Source organism: Homo sapiens, chromosome 8 (genome assembly GCF_000001405.40).
Source record: "Homo sapiens chromosome 8, GRCh38.p14 Primary Assembly".
NCBI classification, from domain to species: domain Eukaryota; kingdom Metazoa; phylum Chordata; class Mammalia; order Primates; family Hominidae; genus Homo; species Homo sapiens.
The window spans coordinates 140,609,951-140,628,843 of NC_000008.11; the positions used below are offsets into that span (position 1 = coordinate 140,609,951).

The window sequence follows — 18,893 nt, forward strand, 5'->3', positions numbered from 1 at the left end:
TGGGAGCCCAAGGCAGGATGATGGTTTGAGCCTGGGAATTCAAAACCAGCCTGGGAAATACAGCAAGACCTTGACTCTAAAAAAAAAAAAAAAAAAAAAAAAAGAAAAGCCAGGTATGGTGGTGCACACCCGTAATCCCAGCTACTTGAGAGGCTGAGGCAGGAGGATTGCTTGAGCCAGGGATGTTGAGGCTGCAGTGGGCTATGATCAGCCACTGCACTCCAGCCTGGGTGACAGAGCGAGATCCTGTCTCAAGAAACAAAAACAAACACCCCCAAAACCAAAAACCAAAGACAGACGGCAAAGACAAGAGATCAGGAAAGGGAGGAACACAATCTTGGCTCACTGCAACCTCTGCTTCCCGGGCTCAAGCACTTCTGCCTCAGCCTCCCGAGTAGCTGGGATTACAGGTGCCCACCACCATGCCCAGCTAATTGTTTGTATTTTCAGTAGAGATGGGGTTTCACCATGTTGACCAGGCTGGTATTGAACTCCTGACCTCAGGTGATCCACCCACCTCAGCCTCCCAAAGTGCTGGGATTACAGGCGTGGGCCACCGTGCCTGGCCAGAGGCTTTCTTAATAACGGAATAACTTAAAAACTTCTCCACAAAAAGCACAAAGAGAATTCCAACCCTCCGAAGACAGCGCTCCTGAAAGCGGCCTATTTTCACCATGAGCAGGGAGCCCGGCTCCCATACCCACAGCCCAAAAGAGAACACGGGCCCAGCCTAGGCTGGTTCCTGAAGGCGACAGGCCCCTGGGCCCCACTGTCTCTGCACCAGAGGGGTTGGGAGCCCCTGTCCTGCCCATGGCCAACCCCCCCATATGCTCAAAGCAACAGTCCATCCAAAGACTTTGAAAAAAACACACAGTCCCCCAAATCTCTCACAGACTCAGCCAGGCGGCCACTCCATGCAGATGAGATTTTAGATTCCAAATCAGATGCTCTTCTTGGGTGGTTTTATTCAAACATGTGTGTAAATCATGATACAATTTAATTAAAGTGGAACATCTCTCCGAAACACTCTGGGATTAAGTAGACACGCGCGCATGCAGATCATTCGAGAGTTAAACAGAACAGGAGTTAGGAGTCTTCTGACTTAGCGGTTCTCTAAGTGTGGTCCGGGGAGCTTCAGGGAGGTCCCCAGGGCCAGAGCGGCTTGTGTTTTCCCTGTGCTGACATTTGCTCCGGTGGCTAAGGTGAAACTGCAGGTGCATCTGCACAGTGCAAGGCGGCGATGGCAGGCAGTACCCTCAGACGCTGGACTCACCACCACAGCACGTGCACAGCACGGGGACGAAGCCAGCCTACCTTAAAACTCCTGCAGAAAGCAGCAAAAAGCATCAAGTTTATTCCACATTGACTCTTAAGCCTTTGTTTTTTTTTTTTCTTGATATGGAGACTCGCTCTGTTGCCCAGGCTGGAGTACAGTGGCACGATCTCAATTCACTGCAACCTCTGCCTCCCAGGTTGAAGCGATTCTCCTCCCTCAGCCTCCCAAGTAGCTGGGATTACAGGCGCCCACCACCACACCGGGCTAATTTTTGTATTTTTAGTAGAGACGAGGTTTCACCATGTTGGCCAGGCTGGTCTCAAACTCCTGACCTCAGGTGATCCGCCCACCTCGGCCTCCCAAAGTGCTGGGATTACAGGCGTGAGCCACTGTGCCTGGCCGTGCCTGGTCTCTTAAGCCTTTTGAATGTTCTGTATGAGGAAGTGGGGGGTGCACATACCCACATACCCCTAAGTGTGAGGCTACCCCAAGGAGAGGCACTTGAGTGTGGCCTTTCGAGCTGTGACCTCGAGTAGGGTGCCGGGCAGATGTCTTCTCCAAGCAGACCTAGTGACCTGCACTTCAAAGAAAATGGCTGATGGTGTCTGTTGCAATCGTAAAATTCAAGCTTTAACATAAAAATTATAATCGTGGAAAACATATTCACCACCATGAGCTTCAAGCTTCCAAATACTTAAAAGACTTCTGGTGAGTTCGACCGGGCGCGGTGGCTCACGCCTGTAATCCCAGCACTTTGGGAGGCCGAGGCGGGCGATCACGAGGTCAGGAGATCGAGACCATCCTGGCTAACACGGTGAAACCCCGTCTCTACTAAAAATACAAAAAATTAGCCGGGAGCAGTGGCGGGCGCCTGTCGTCCCAGCTACTCGGGAGGCTGAGGCAGGAGAATCGCTTGAACCTGAGAGGCGGAGGTTGCAGTGAGCTGAGATTGTGCCACTGCACTCCGGCCTGGCCAAGAGCGAGACTCTGTCTCAAAAAAAAAAAAAAAAAAAAAAAAAAAAAAAAAAAAAAAGACTTCTGGTTAGTTCAGCAGTGTTCGTGAATGGGATGTTTTGATGATCTGTGTGATTAAATGTGTCACTGCTGGAAGGCCCGTGTAACTCTGTGAGCTAGTGTGTTCCAAATGCCTGGTGCATGATGGACAAAACACATGGGAGACAGGATCCATTCGGGCTGCAGTTCTACAGCTGCGGATTCTACACTGCACCTGACTTTCAAGAAACTATTGCTTTTTCTGGCTGGGTGTGGTGGCTCACGCCTGTAATCTCAGCACTTTGGGAGGCTGAGGTAGGTGGATCACACGAGGAGTTTGAGACCAGCTTGGCCAACATGGTGAAACCCCATCTCTGCTATAAATATAAAATTAGCCGGGTGTGGTGGCTGTAATCCCAGCTACTCGGAGGTTGAGGCAGGAGAATCGCTTGAACCCAGGAGGCGGAGGTTGCAGTGAGCCGAGACTGCGCCACTGCACTCCAGCCTGGGCAACAAGACCCAAAAAACTCGGTCTCAAAAAAAACAAAATGAAACTACTGTTTTTCGAGTTTTGGTGTAGTAGCAACAAATACCCATAATTATCTGAAAAGGCTACAACAACAACCCTCCCTTCCAGCTACATAGCTGCATGAGGCCAGATTTTTTTTTTTATACTTCAACCAAAACAACATATCCCTGGCCAGGCATGGTGGCTCGCGTCTTTAATCCCAGCACTTTGGGAGGCCGAGGTGGGCAGATCACGAGGTCAGGAGATCGACACCATCCTGGCTAACACGGTGAAACCCCGTCTCCACTAAAAATACAAAATAATTAGCCAGGTGTGGTGGCAGACGCCCGTAGTCCCAGCTACTCGGGAGGCTGAGGCAGGAGAATGGCGTGAACCCGGGAGGCGGAGCTTGCAGTGAGCCGAGATAGCGCCACTGCACTCCAGCCTGGGCGACAGAGCAAGACTCCGTCTCAAAAAACAACAGCAACAAAAAACAAAAAAACCCCAACATATCCCTGTCGACAGAATGCAGAAGCCAGCTGATGCTTTCTATTAAGGCAGACCTTAAGGAGATTTAGGAAAAATGTAAAACTACGCCACTCTTCTCATTATATTTTGTTTTAGAAGAAATTATCTTTCATAAAAACATTTATATGAATACATATTTAATATAATGACATGTTGTTGTATCAAATGTTTTTTAAACTCCTGTTTTAATTTGTAATACAACAGATATAACCCACATAAACAAATGGTCTTCGGGGTTCTCAATAACTTAAGAATGTAAAGAGGTCCCAACCAAAAACAGCTGAAGAGCTGCCGTCTGAATGTCCCTTTCCAGGAGTGGATTGTCATCTAGAGTATTTTCTTAAAAACACAGCAGCCCTGCCTGAGGTTTCTTCAGGAATAACGGTAATACTGGCAGAATCGGCGACAAATGGAACTCTATCCACAAGACCACTGCAGAAATTCGGGTCTGGTTTCTATCACACTATAAAGAACAGCTGGCCAGGCATGGTAGCTCACACCTATAATCCCAGCACTTAGGGAAGCCGAGGCAGGAGGGTCACTTGACCCCTGGGGCTTGAGACCAGCCTGGGCAACACAGAGAGACCTCGTCTCCACAACAAAAATTTTTAAAGTAGCCGGATGTAGTGGTGCATGCCTGTGATCCCAGCTACTCAGGAGGCTGAAGTGAGATCGCTTGAGTGCAGGAGGTTGAAACTGCAGTGAACCATGATCATCCCCAACGCACTCCAGCCTGGGCAACAGAGCAAGACCCTGTCTCAAAAAAAAAAAAAAAAAAAAAAAAAGGCCAGACACGGTGGCTCACGCCTGTAATTCCAGCACTTTGGGAGGCCAAGGCGGGCGGATCATCTCTCAGGTCAGGAGTTCAAGACCATCCTGGCTAACATGGTGAAACCCTGTCTCTACTAAAAATACAAAATTAACTGGGCGTGGCGTGTGCTTGTAGTAGTCCCAGCTACTCGGGAGGCAGAGGCAGGAGAACTGCTTGAAACCGGGAGGTAGAGGTTGCAGTGAGCCGAGATCGTGCCACTGCACTCCAGCCTAGGAGACAGAGTGAGACTCCGTCTCAAAACAAAACAAAAGCAAAGGCAGGACTCAAGTCAATATTCATTTATTCAAAACAGTGTCCTAAGAAAAACACATTAAACCAATTCTTTAATGAAAACACTGGGAAATCCAAACCCACTAAATTCTGAGCCAATCTTTTCCTTTGATTCCCTAATGAAGTTTGCTCTATTTCAGAGAGGTCCCCTAAAAGTCCTGCACGTTTGCATAATTATGGCAAAGGAATGCAAGCTACTCTCCTCATGTCTTCAGCAACCTGTTGCAGTGACAATGCAGCCCACACTCTACTAAGGCGTCCTTCCGGGCCTGGGGTCCAACAACCAGACCAGGAGCCACACGAGTCAAGGTTCTAGAACCTGGAGGCACCACCAGGTCTGAATCCAGGATCCAGTACTTACTGCTGCGTGACCTGAACCCCTCTGTGCCCCAGTCTCCTCACTTCCAAAACGGGAGGATGGCAGGACCCACAGAGTCATGACCGCCTAAAGCCCTTTGCAAGCACCTGGCACTCAGCATTCGCCGTGCCCTCGGTAACTGCTGCTGCTGCTGTTACTGAAGTCATGAGAACTCACTCTAACCGCTCAAGTCACTCCTGGAGCCTCAGACTTCATCTGTGTGACTCTTGGTAACATCTTTTCATCACATACAAGCCTGGGACCACTCCCTGCCAACACCACCATTCACATATTCATTATCCACAGCACAATTCCACTAACTGTTTTATGAGTCCTGATTTGCCAAACACAGCATTTAAAACGTTCCACTTTTGAAATAAACAAAAGCAGGCTGGTGCAGTGACTCATGTCTGTAATCCCGGCACTTTGGGAGGCTGAGATGGGAGGATCCCTTGTGCCCAGGAAGTCAAGGCTGCAGTGAGCCGAGATCGTGCCACTCCACTCCAGCCCAGGCAACAGAGTAAGATCCTGTCTCAAAATAAAATATTATAAACAAAGCAAACCAAAATAAAATAAACAAAAATGGAGTGAAATAATGGAGACAGCCCCCTGGCCAGGCCTGTAAGACTCAGCGCCGAAGGCCCAGAGCAGACATAGTCAGCACCCACTCCTTGCCCACCTGCTCTAGGCCCCGGGCCCCCAGGCGGCCCTTCTCATGCCACAGTGGCCCCGGCCCAGGCAGTGTTCTCGCCCGGCACACAGCCCGCTCAGAGCCCTCTGAAGGGTGGCAGGCTCGTGAGTTCAAAGCCACAGAACCAGCATGAAGTGGGGCCTGCCCCACCGCCTGGCCAGGAGCTGACACTTCAGGGACAGAATAGAAGTGGCTGACATCAGGTAGGAAATGGTGGCTTCTGTCCACTACAGCCGATGTTTAGGGGGCAGCCACAGTTAAATGAAACTTTTACCACGCTCAAGGTGGTTTTGCTTTTCGGAACCGGACCACCCTCTTGCTTGCTCATGCCTGTGGCAGCTCTCCACGCGGCTTCGCCACAGATCCTGCCCACGGTCTGTTCTGAATTAAACACACTATTGAGTTGGAGCACTCATGTGTTTGCTCTGTCTCTCTGGGGCTTTGTTTAGAAAACAAACTTTGACAATATCCAAGCAAACAATGGGACCAAATACCTGCAAAGTCACTTAAAAGAACAAAAGATATCTGTTCCCATTCTGAGGGCATTTTGTAAGAAACATGCTTTCTGATATCATTCATCTGAATCAATGCGTACCCTGTCATCAGCGAGCCCTAAGCCAACAGGCTCACCCTCAGAGCATGTGCCTTCCTCAGAACAAGGTTTGCACTGAGTCTTCCACATTCTTGTACAAGAACCCTTGTAACCAAGCCCGTGAGGCTCCCACACCCCATAGTCTGTGCCAGACGAGACTCCTCAGGGAACCCTAACCGCCATCCCATCTGTACCCTGCTTTATCCAGGCAGCACCAGCACAAACTTACTGAAGCATCATTTTGAGATTCCTACAGGAGAGGCTCACTCCTCAAAGGACCGATGACAGCCCCGCCACCCACTTACACAGCCATTATCGCAACAGCGAGCCGCAGGCACCAACGGCTTCCTATGCACAAGGAAGATTTGCCATGCATTAATTCACTTCACTCCCACAGTGTAATCCCGTTACTAATTATGACAACGACAACAATTATTAACTCTAGTAACTATTATGTAATTAACACAATCACTTATTGATAATAATTGCAATGAATTATAATCAACAATTGCTCATAACTAAATTATAATAAAATACAATGCATTATGGTCATATTCTGATGGTTATGATACATAATTTCATATTAGCACATGGGTATTATTTATAAGAATTAATGATGGCAATCACTATTATTATCCCATTTTACAGAGGAGGAGCTGACACAGGGGCAGCAGCAGTGGGCAGGGCCTGGGTGGGAGTCCAGGGCCTCGGTGCCAGAGCCCCTAGAACTGCCCAATACCAGGCTCACAGAACAGGAGAGCCTCAGGGGGAGAGAGCTCACTGCCCCCACCTCACTCGGCCTTGGGGTACAGCCTCCACCCAGCAGGGGCTGAGCACAGGTGGATTTACAAGGAACATCTGTAAGTGGCCCTCAGGAAAGAGACACACATCAGCACTGACTGCGTCCAGCGGAGCCCTGCGTGTTTTCACCAGGCAGCCTGTCCATCCCTGGCCCCGCTCTCCACCCCCGCGCACCCTCCACCAAATGCTTCCTGCAGCTCTGCTCTCTGCAAGCAACGATGCTGGATCGGAGATGCAGCAGGAGCAGGTCCAGCCTCTGGCAGTGAGAGAGTGGACCCCCCTCATCCCCACACACCTTGTCAGACCCTGTAAGGAAGCACTCTGAAAAAGAGGGTGTTCTAAGCATATATGTAAGAGAAACAACAACAACACAACTAGCAGCTAACGCGAGCACCTGCTGTACACCAGGCTCTCGGGCGCATTGACCTGTTCAATCTCAGTGACCCTGTGAGAGAAGCACCACTCTTTTTTTTTTTCGAGATGGAGTCTCGCTCTGTCGCCCAGGCTGGGGTGCAGATCTCAGCTCACTTCAACCTCCACCTCCAGGGTTTAAGTGACCCTCCTGCCTCAGCCTCCTGAATAGCTGGGACTACAGGCAACTGCCACCATGCCCAGCTATTTTTTTGTATTTTTAGTAGAGACGGGGTTTCACCATGTTGGCCAGGCTGGTCTTGAACTCCTGACCTCAAGTGATCCACCTGCCTCAGCCTCCCAAAGTGCTGGGATTACAGACGTAAGCCACTGCGCCTGGCCGAGAAACACCACTCTTATGCCCAAATGAAGAGTTTTGATGACACCAATGTCGGTCACGCAGCTGGTAGGTGGAGGATAATCAAGAACTGAGCACAGCCACCCGTGGGCGTGACCCTGTCCCACAGGAGCCCACCCTCTGATCTGTGTGCTGCCATCATCCTTTTACTTTAAAAATTGTTGGATGCTGGGCATGGTGGCTCAGGCCTGTGATCCCAGCACTTTAGGAAGCTGAGGTGGCAGGACTGCTTGAGCCCAGGCGTTTGAGAGCAGCCTGGACAACATAGTGAGACCCTGTCTCTACTAAAAAATAAAAAAGCCAGGTGTGGTGGCACACACCTGTAGTCCCAGCTACTCAAGAGGTGGCAGGATTGCTCGAGCCTGGGAGGTTGAGGCTGCTGTGAGCCGTGATTGCACCACTGCACTCCAGCCTGGGCAACAGAGTGAGACCGTCTACAAAAAAAAAAAGTTGGGCCAGGCATGGTGGCTCACGCCTGTAATCCCAGCACTTTGGGAGGCCTAGACGGGCAGATCACGAGGTCAGGAGTTCGAGACCAGCCTGGCCAACACGGTGAAACCCTGCCAACACGGTGAAACCCCGTCTCTACTAAAAATAAAAAATTAGCCTGGCACAGTGGTGGGCGCCTGTAATCCCAGCTACTTGGGAGGCTAAGGCAGGAGAATCGCTTGAACCCAGGTGGCAGAGGTTGCAGTGAGCCGAGATCGTGCCACTGCACTCTAGCCTAGGCAACAGAGCAAGACTCCGTCTCAGGAAAAAAAAAAAAAAAAGTTGGCCAAGGGTAATGGCTCACACGTATAATCTCAGCACTTTGGGAGGCCAAGGCAGGAGAAACACTTGAATTCAGGAAGTTGAGGCTACAGTTAGCTGTGACTGTGCCACTGCACTCCAGCCTGGGTGACAAAGCAAGACCTTAAAAAACCCAGAACTATTGTAAATATACAAATATGCTTCCCCCAAATTAACAGCACTCAGAACTGCTGAAGACATTAAGTGAAAAGGAAAGACAGAAAATCATAAATGTGGCTGATCCCAACTGTCCACCCATGTATAGAAATGTGTGAGCCTGGGCAACATGGTGAAAACCCGTCTCTACAAAAAACACAAAAAATCAGCCAGGGTGGCGGGGTGCACCTGCAGTCCCAGCTACCTGGGAGGCTGAGGTGGGAGGGTCTCCTGAGGCCAAGGCTGCAGTGAGCCGTGATTGTATTACTGCACTCCAGCCTGGGTGAGTGAGACCTTGTCTCAAAAAAAAAAGAAAAGAAAAGAAAACATATTTCTTGTGAGTAATATTACAGGTGGTTTTTTTTTTCTTTTTACTTCCACATCTCCTAAACTATTTGAAATGAGCATGTCTTTCTTTTTATCATGATGGAAAGAACAGTTTTTTTAAAAACTAGAATCAAAAAGCAACTCTGCCCAAGGAAAATTCTGCATGGAAACCCCACGGCGGCATGATGGGGAGGGGTCAGGGCGGCTCCTCCGAGAGCAGCTGCTGGCTCCTTATCCTGGTGGCAGCCGCGGCCTTATCTCTGTGATGCAGACAGAGGCTGCCATGGAAGGAGGAGGCCCCTGGCCCTGGGCTGCCCACACAGTGTATACAAGACACAGCCACCCGCACCTGGCAGCCACTGTCGCCAAGTCGCTAGGGATGGGCTGTGGCGCAGGCTCGGGAGCAAGTCTAATATTCACGGGCAACACCAGGAACAGCTCCCTAACAGGCACTGTAAGTACACCACCAACAACGACCTCACTTTCCACTCTGGACCACTAATGACCATCCACAATGATCCACTGAATGTCTTACACTAGACGCAACGACACAAGAGAAATAAAACGACAATGCGGCCCAGCAATGCTGGGGCCCAGAGGCACGGCTCAGACCAAAGCAGGATCAGAGAGAAGGGAGCAGGGAAAACAGACCTGGCGCCAGGGACCGGGCAGGCCAGAGGCTTAAGGAAGCCGCGGGAGGCCTGAGGCAAAGGCCGCTCACTGCGCCGCAGAGCACAGAAGAGGAGGGACCTACCCCCAGGCAACTCTGGAAAGCAGCGATCCGACTGCACTGTAAGGCCAAGGACAAGAAGAGCCACACACATGAGGGCTGCGGTCAGAAAGTCTGTGTCTCGCAGGGGTGCGGGCCGGCAACTCTCCACACTCTACAGGCACGCTAGGTTTCAACGAATAAGCAAACTCACTGTGGACAGTGAGCGCCAGGGTTCTCAACACCTGCTAAGGTTATAAGCAATGGGGGAGGCGAGAAACCCTGCTGGGGTGGATGTGAATCTGAAACACCGGTATGATCCCATGGTTTTTAACATGAACGCGGGGGATAAGCACATGTAGATGTGTGTACACACGCATGCTAGTGTGGACGCGTGTGTCTCCTGCCTGCATCCAGACCTGTGTTTCTAGCACCATCCTCCAATAAAATAACAGAAGCTCAGGGATGAAACGGGCTGGTGCAGGAAAAATACAAGGATCCCAGAGCATCTTGCAGGTTCCAGGAGAGGAACAGTCAGAATGTGAAGGGGCACGCTGAAAAGATGCGGGGCTACCTGAAGGGGTCCCACGTCAGGAGGAAGAGGGGCCTTCAGGCAACAGCACCGGCCATGTGGGAGCCTGGGTGGGAGGGGGCTCCAGAAGTGAGCATGGACTATCCAGAAAATGGCCATTAGTCAAATGGACAGATGTGCCTAAGAGCTGTAGGCCGGGTAAGAGGCCTGTAGCAATGCTAACCTGCCCTACGATCAGACGAGATGATGGCAACAGGGGAAGCCAACTATAGGAGCCCTGCACTACTCTGGCCACTTTTCTGTAAGCCTAAAATCATTGTCAAGTAAAATGGTAAGAGAATATTTATGAATGAAATGATATGACTCAAACTATGGAGGGTGCGGAGCAGGAGAGGAGGACAGGATGAGTGATGGCCACATGAGTGTTCCTTATATCTTCTCCTCCACTTTTATGTACATTTGAATTTTTCCACAATAAAAAGCCCTTTAAAACTTCTTCTCGGCCGGGCACGGTGGCTCATGCCTGTAATCCCAGCACTTTAGGAGGCTGAGGCAGGCAAATCACTTTGAGCTCAGGAGTTTGAGACCAGCCCAGGCTAACATGGAGAGACCCTGTCTCTACAAAAAATACAAAAAAATTAGCCAGGCATGGTGGCATGCATCTGTGGGAGGCTGAGGCAGGAGGATCGTTTGAGCAAGGGAGGCAGAGGCTGCACTGAGCTGAGATTGTGCCACTGCAAGCCAGCTTGGTTGTCAGAGTAAGACCCTGTCCCCAAGAAAAAGAAAAAAAAAATTTTTCTCAAAGTTTGCAAATTCAACGTAAATCTGGTCTCCTTTTCTTTTTAAAAAAGAGACAGGGTCCCGCTCCATCACCCAGGCTGGAGTGCAATGGCATGATCACAGCTCACTGCAGCCTGGACCCCTGGGTTCAAGCGATCTCCCTGCCTCCTGAATTGTGCCCATCCATGCCAAAGGAGCAGAAGTTCTATGGGCAGCAGCCTCTCCCTCACGCCACATTTGCTCCATCTCTCCACCCACAGTTGCCCTCACAGGTGCCATTTCTGATGATCTCCAAGCCACCTGCCAATCGTTTTCCACCCTGCAGCCGGTGGGCCTGCCTGTCTCCCACACTTGCCCCTCCTTGGGCTGGATGATGATGGCCGTTCCCTGGCAGCCTCTGGCCGCAGCAGTCCCCGACACCCCATGCTCCAGGCCACTTTCCTGCCCCTCCTACTGGACCAAGCACTTGCTTGCACTGGAGACACCTGCCATTTTCCATGGATTTGTGAGTGACTGCTCACAGACTCACATCTGTGTTCATGACTCAGACCGTGAGCTCGCAAGGCAGAAGCCAAGACTGTGTCCATTCACCATTGTCCCCAGTCACGGGCATGACCCCAGCACATAGCTGTCACTCAACACTGACTCAAAGAACAAGCTTCTTTGACATATGAGGCATCCAGGATGGAGTCTGGGTACCGGACTCCCTTTTCGGCCTTGTTCAATGATGTTCACCTTTATTACGTTCATTTAGTCATCCAGGTTCCAAGTATGCTGTACACTCTGGCATGAAGAAATGAACACATCTAATATCTATTAGGTGATCTGGGCAAAACATCTTAAATCTAACATTTTTTTCCATCCTGGCAACTAATCTGCTAGAAATGGTTTAGTATGGTTCACTTTCTAAAAGGTTCAGAGGATAGTAACAAGTGTTGATGAGGACGCGGAGAAACTGAACCCTTCGTGAACTGCTGGCGGGAATGGAAACGGTGCAGCCACTGTACAACAGCTAAGTGGGCCCTCAAAAAGTTAAACACAGAGTGACCATCTCACCTAGCCCATGAGAAATGAACACACACGTCCACAGGAAAACTTGTACACAAATGCTCACAGCAGCACTATTTACAATAGTCAAAAGGTGGAAACAAGCCAAATCGTAGATGAACTGGGACATATCCATACACTCGGATACTTGATGACAAAAAGAAATGAAACACTGATGCTGCCGTGTGAACCGTGAAGACATGCCGAGTGAAAGAAGGAGACACAAGAGTTCACTGGCTGTGTGGCTTCATCTATAGAACATACTCGGAACAGGTCAATCCAGTGAGACGGAACGCAGATGGGTAGTTCCCAGGGGCTGGGTGGGAGCGAATGGGGGTGACTACTTAATCCACATGGGGTCTCCTCTTGGGGGAATAATGCACATGGGGTCTCCTCTTGGGGGAATAATGCACATGGGGTCTCCTCTCGGGGGAATAATGCACATGGGGTCTCCTCTCGGGGGAATAATGCACATGGGGTCTCCTCTCGGGGGAATAATGCACATGGGGTCTCCTCTCGGGGGAATAATGCACATGGGGTCTCCTCTCGGGGGAATAATGCACATGGGGTCTCCTCTCGGGGGAATAATGCACATGGGGTCTCCTCTCGGGGGAATAATGCACATGGGGTCTCCTCTCGGGGGAATAATGCACATGGGGTCTCCTCTCGGGGGAATAATGCACATGGGGTCTCCTCTCGGGGGAATAATCCACATGGGGTCTCCTCTTGGGGGAATAATCCACATGGGGTCTCCTCTTGGGGGAATAATGCACATGGGGTCTCCTCTTGGGGGAATAATGCACATGGGGTCTCCTCTTGGGGGAATAATGCACATGGGGTCTCCTCTTGGGGGAATAATGCACATGGGGTCTCCTCTTGGGGGAATAATGCACATGGGGTCTCCTCTTGGGGGAATAATGCACATGGGGTCTCCTCTTGGGGGAATAATGCACATGGGGTCTCCTCTTGGGGGAATAATGCACATGGGGTCTCCTCTTGGGGGAATAATGCACATGGGGTCTCCTCTTGGGGGAATAATGCACATGGGGTCTCCTCTTGGGGGAATAATGCACATGGGGTCTCCTCTTGGGGGAATAATGCACATGGGGTCTCCTCTTGGGGGAATAATGCACATGGGGTCTCCTCTTGGGGGAATAATGCACATGGGGTCTCCTCTTGGGGGAATAATGCACATGGGGTCTCCTCTTGGGGGAATAATGCACATGGGGTCTCCTCTTGGGGGAATAATCCACATGGGGTCTCCTCTTGGGGGAATAATGCACATGGGGTCTCCTCTTGGGGTAATAATCCACATGGGGTCTCCTCTTGGGGGAATAATGCACATGGGGTCTCCTCTTGGGGGAATAATGCACATAGGGTCTCCTCTTGGGGGAATAATGCACATGGGGTCTCCTCTTGGGGGAATGAAGCGGTTTGGAAGTAGACAGCGATGATGGCTGCACCACACTGTGAATGCGCTACACGCCACTGAATTGTTCATCTTACAATGGTTCATCCGATGTCACTGCCACACGTCCCCCGGCACTCCAGCCTTGGCCTGTCTCCTGAGGGCACACAGGGAGGCAGTCAGCCTCCAGCAGCCAGTCAGCAGTCAGGCCCCCGGCTGGACACGGGTCACACCTGGACCTAGCAACATCCAGAAGGGCAGGGCTGGTGGGAGCGGAGGGTGCCGTCTTGCTGCGTGCCCCCTGATGTGGCCATGCTTCCCTCCCGTGCACACCTGTTACCTGTCTCCATCAGTGCTATGGATGCAGCCCCATGGCCCCTCCCTCCATAATGGCCACCATCATCACCCCTGCCAGGCCACAGACGTCATCTCCCATCCCAAACACAGCCCTGGGAGGCCACTTGCCACCGAGCCACAAACCACAAGAAAAAGAGGCCCCAGGGCGGGATGGCTGCAGAACTTTTCAAAAGGGTAAGCGAGTTTCAACATGCAGATTTAACTCTTAAACAAAGAAATGACTAAAGGCAGTAAGCCTTTAGTGAGTTAAAGAAGACACATGGCGAACACTGCATAGACACAAGGGAACCAAGATGATCCCGGGGCAAGGAGGTCACAGTGGGTGATGGAGACAGGACAGGAGAGCCCACCATAGGGCGAGATGCACGGGGAGCCAGGAAGGTGCAGGGCGAGCGCGATGGACCGTCCCCTCCTGGGTTTCTGGAACCAAGCTTGTCCATAACAGACACTCACACTGGCTTGCATGGGTGGCACCCACTGTCCTCAGGCCAGCTCCGAAGAGCCCCCACCCAGCAGGTCTCGACTGGGTCACCCGGCTCTGCCCCCTCTGGAGCCCTGCCTCACTCTGGGAGGCAGCCCACCTGGGCCAGCCTTGCCCCCTGCCTTCAAGCACACCCCAAACAGCCAAGCAGGGCGAGTCCCCATTTGTAGAAGTGGAGCCAGAACGTCCACACTGCACGCACCTCAGGGCACAGAGCCGGCGTGCGTGGCAGTGACCACCTCACCCTGGACAGGGATGGACAGTGGCAGAACAAACCCAAACTTGGAGAGCCTGCATCCAAACACCCCTCCAGCTCCGGCCACCAATCTGCAAGAAAGACACTCGGAACAGAGGGCACGCCGGGCTACACCCAGGAGATGCAGCTGCGGGAGACGGCAGCACTGAGCAGCCAGCGTCCCCAACTAACAGCAAGGCTGGGGGCTCAGGAGGAGGCTCTGGTCCTCGCATTCCGAGGCCACCAACTGCGAACATCCACACCAGTGAGCAACGGGCAACTCTGGCACCGTGTGCTCCCCGGCTGGGAGGAAGGGTTGGACTTCGGATGCCGGACACTATGCGGGGCATATAAGGAGCACAGAGGAAGACAGACACACACCCATGTCATGTGGTGACATCTTCTGAAACATCTGTCAACAAGACGATGCCACTGGGATCTGCAATGAGAAACGGGAAACGGGACGAGGCTCAAAGAGAAGCAGCATCAACCACAGACAGACCATGCTGGAGGCGGGGGATAGTGCATGGCACACACCCCCATCCCGCTCCTTCCAACGGCCCCCTTGCTCCAGAGCATGCCCTCCACTGGGACCATCCCAGCAGCCTCCTCCAGGAAGGCCTCCCTGCTTCCACCCCACCCTCTTGGTCTGTTTCTAACACAGTGGCCACAGGGATCCTTTTAAAGACTAAGTCAGCTGGCGTCCCTCCTCTGCTCAGTCCCTGCTGCACGTCCCTGGTATTGATCTCCCTGCCCTCAGCCTGCACCTGGGCCCTGGCTGCATCCCTCCTTTGCTGGAGTGCAGTGGCGCGATCTCAGCTCGCTCCAACCTCCACCTCCTGGGTAGCTGGAATTACAGGCGCCTGCCACCATGCCCGGCTAATTTTTGTATTTTTAGTAGAGACGGGTTTTCACCACGTTAGCCAGGCTGGCCTCAAACTCCTGACCTCAGGTGATCCGCCCGCCTTGGCCTCCCGAAGTGCTGGGATTTCAGGCGTGAGCCACTGACCCCTGTCCAGTCCTACTCTTTCTTGGTGGGCCTGTGCTGACCACCAGGCAACTCGCCCCTCCCCAGCCCCAGCCCCTGACCCTGCTCAACCATGGTCTTTCATCCCTCGTATCCAGGGGGTGCTTTACACCTGGCTCACTGGTGAGTCCTGTTTTGATGCTGCCCCCAAGCCCTCTCCTCAATCACACACCATGAACGGGCCTCACCCCCGGCCTGGCTCCTTCCAATGGCATATCCTTTGCAAAGCTTCCCAGAGGGAGTCCAACCAGAGTTCCCGCCGACTCTACCATGCGCATCCCCGACCAGATCCTGTGTTCACCTGCCAGTCCTGGAATGGCCAGGCTATGTCCACAGGGTCACCCTCAAATGTTTCAGAACATTCCAGGAGAATGCTCTGCACTCCTCAGGGGAGCTGCACAGAACAGGGACCACCCCCCAAAAAGCTTCCAGGGCCAACAGCGAAGTTAAGGTGTGATGAGTGAGCGTCTCAGCACTGAGAATCCATCCACACCTAATGTGACCGTTCTTACAGTGAGGCACGCGCTTTAGCATCTGGCAAACTGCATACTTCACGAAGCAGCAGCACGCACAGGGACCAAGGTGCGCCCAGCAAGGCCCCCCTGCCCCAGTCACCAATAGGGCCACTCGAGCCACCACGGCAAAGCCATGGGCAGCACGTGGCCTTCTAGTTCCACCGGCTTCAGCTGGGTTCATGGCCCGGGGGGGCACAGCTGGCGCCCTTTCGGCGTCGCTCCTGTCTACGAGCGGGCAAGGAAGGTCCCCAAGAGCTGTCGGGGTCCGGCGCACCTGGGTCTGTATAGAGGTGAGTTCTGAGCGACACAGGCCATCTTCTGTGTCCCTGGCCCGAGCCTCTCAAGGCCGCTGTGGACACCAGACAGATGAGTGTTATTTATCAGAGATAAGCCTTTTTAAATGTTTTCTTATCCCTCCCTGCTTGCAAAGTAAAGACCCAGAGGTCAACAAAGGGGATCAAAGGGAGGAGGAACGCCCGCCCTACTGCCAGGCAGAGTAACGCCCCCATCACGGCGGGAGTAACAGTCACCATCAGAGGGACCTTCTGAGGGCCCTGCATGTGGGACACAACTGCAGGTCGCCCGCATCATCTCCTCTGATCAAAGCACCACCACCATGAGGACGAGGTTTTCACTCTGTACGAAGAGGAGACTGAGGTTCAGAGAGGTGAGGTGAGACACCCATCACGTGGCCAGGATTCCAGTGAGGTGGGCCTGACCTGAGCCTGCGCTCAGGGTGCTGTTATGCTGAGGCGGGCATCCTGCAACGTCACATGAGCCCCCAGCCACTCCCAAGAGCTCAGACACCTCCACACACAGATTTGTTCCAAGTCACCCCTCTCATCACTCTTGGCATCTTCCTTTGCTTTCTCTGCATTTTTTACCCGTGTTACTCTATTAATTCCTTTGTCCCTGCAAAAAAACATAAAACAAATGATGCCCCGGCTTGCCAGCCTGAGGGGCAGGGAGGCCGCCATCCCTCAGGGCCTCCCTGGGCTTCTCATTCCCACTGCTCAGCCTGCACACGAGCATGGGGCTGTGCTCAGACCAGAATGGTGTCCAGGTCTCTGAGCACACCAGGCGCCACACACACAGGACACTGATCATCCCGTCAATCATAACTGGGACTCAGACACCCACCCCAAAGCAGGGGCTAAAGAACTCCCCATTTATATCCAGTGCCCGCCACCTTCCCGCCCTGCATAAGCTCACTTAGAGCAAGACACCAGAGAAGCCTGGGAATGTGGGTCCCACGGGAGGATCCTTTCACTATCAAAGCCAAAAAGAAACAGGGCAAAGCACCCTCGAGTCCTCCAACCGTCGGAACAAGAGTGCTGATGCAAACTCCTCCAACAAGTCAACATGATGTTGGAAAGACAAACTCACAACAGTTCTATTATTTTACTCAATAAGGCAAACCTGACAAACATCTCAAATGGTTATGACCTATGAACTTCAGTTTTTGATCTTTTTATGTGCAGCTGCAAGATGAAAGTTTCTAGTGGCTGCCTTCTGGCAGCAGAGTACACTAACTCTCTAAGGACAAAACAGAGCTGAAACACTCAGAAATGACGTGGAAAACAACAACATTGCCCTGAGTTACTGCCCCAGTAGGATTTTCCCAAGATGGATGTCAATTACAGTAAGAGATTCGGGTTAGGGGCCGCCTGGGCTCCTGAGTCTGGCTGTTTCTAAGCCTTGCTGCAGTTGTGTTTGTTTTGGGATATAGGTCCTTAAAAACAGGTATTGGCCGATTTGCATTGCATTTACTGAAGCCCCAGTAATCACCTTCAGAAGTCCCCTTCCGTCTGGTAGTGGACTAGCTGTGTTCACAGCAACATGGAACCACAGGCGGCACCCCACACAAGCATGGCGGTCACTTGTCAGAGCTCCACGCTTCATCAGTAAAGGAGACCACCACAAAGTCCACTGTGGGACACCCAACACGCGATCTCCCACAGATGCACCCCCCAGGGCTGCTGCCCCCACTGTCTCGGGGCTGTCCTCCAGGTTTCTGGCATGGGCTCCTCCCTCCCTCAATTCCACTCCCAGGAGGATGCTCCCTGGAGCTGCTCGAGGGCTTCTACCTCCTCTCCCCACCCTTATCCCAAAACCAGGGGGTCCCAAACCTGGCCTAATGGGCAATCACCTGGGACATCTGTGAAATCAGCTTCCTAGGTCTTCAGGGCAGAGACCGGAAGAAGCTTTCAGGTAATTCTGTGATTCCTGCTCCCCCGGCCGCAGCGCCCACTGACTGAGCACCAGCTGTGGGCAGGCCCCACCCCAGAGCTCGGCCCAGCCTGCCCTGACCCACTGCCTTACTGGGGCTGCCAGATGCACTGCCTCCTGAGCCACTTTTGCTTCCCCAGGGAACGAACACCCACGTGTGTGAGGCCCCAGGAATGAGGAGGACGGCAGCCCCACCAGGGAGCCAGGCACGTGGAGCTGCAGGCACGTGTGTGTGTGCGTGTGTGTGTGTTACATACCTGTGTGCGTGTGTGTACCTGCAGATATTTTTTATTCCCTGTGCATCTGCATAATATTCTGCAGTGTTAAGCAGCACAGATGCTTCTGAGAAATGCTCAACTCTGTGCTGGGTGTGGTGGCTCACACCTGTAATCCCAGCACCTTGGGAGGCCAAGGCAGGAGGATTACTTGAGGCCAGGAGTGAGACCAGCCTGGGCAACATAGGGAGACCTCCATCTCTACAAAAAATAGTCCCAGCTTCTTGGGAGGTGGAGGTGGGAGGTTTGAACCCGTGAAGTCAGGGCTGCAGTGAGCCATGACTGTGCCACTGCACTCTAGCCTGGGCAACAGAGTGAGACCCCACCTCAAAATAATAATAGCAGCAACAACAACAATAATAATAATAGGCCGGGCGCGGTGGCTCACACCTGTAATCCCAGCACTTT

At 52.3% G+C, this 18,893-nt stretch overlaps 2 protein-coding genes across 5 annotated transcripts in view, besides 2 other annotated features; both read right to left on the reverse strand.

The window, feature by feature from the left end:
* Positions 1–18,893, reverse strand: part of AGO2 (argonaute RISC catalytic component 2) — a 122,158-nt gene that overhangs the window by 89,795 nt on the left and 13,470 nt on the right. The gene's annotated exons all lie outside the window — the stretch shown is intronic.
* Positions 2,299–18,640, reverse strand: LOC107986982 (MAGE-like protein 2). Its single transcript, XM_017014159.2, has 2 exons — positions 13,342–18,640; positions 2,299–13,311 (listed from the first exon to the last, which is right to left on the reverse strand). The coding sequence occupies exons 1-2, from the start codon at positions 13,472–13,474 to the stop codon at positions 12,299–12,301; spliced, it is 1,146 nt and encodes a 381-aa protein (XP_016869648.1). The 5' UTR covers positions 13,475–18,640; the 3' UTR covers positions 2,299–12,298.
* Positions 14,172–15,171: an enhancer, noted in NCBI's record as "H3K4me1 hESC enhancer chr8:141634221-141635220 (GRCh37/hg19 assembly coordinates)". NCBI's record gives its function as "activates a minimal SCP1, AML or CMV promoter by ChIP-STARR-seq in naive H9 embryonic stem cells {active_cell/tissue: H9 hESC(naive)}" and the evidence as "EXISTENCE:reporter gene assay evidence [ECO:0000049][PMID:30033119]".
* Positions 15,172–16,172: an enhancer, noted in NCBI's record as "H3K4me1 hESC enhancer chr8:141635221-141636221 (GRCh37/hg19 assembly coordinates)". NCBI's record gives its function as "activates a minimal SCP1, AML or CMV promoter by ChIP-STARR-seq in naive H9 embryonic stem cells {active_cell/tissue: H9 hESC(naive)}" and the evidence as "EXISTENCE:reporter gene assay evidence [ECO:0000049][PMID:30033119]".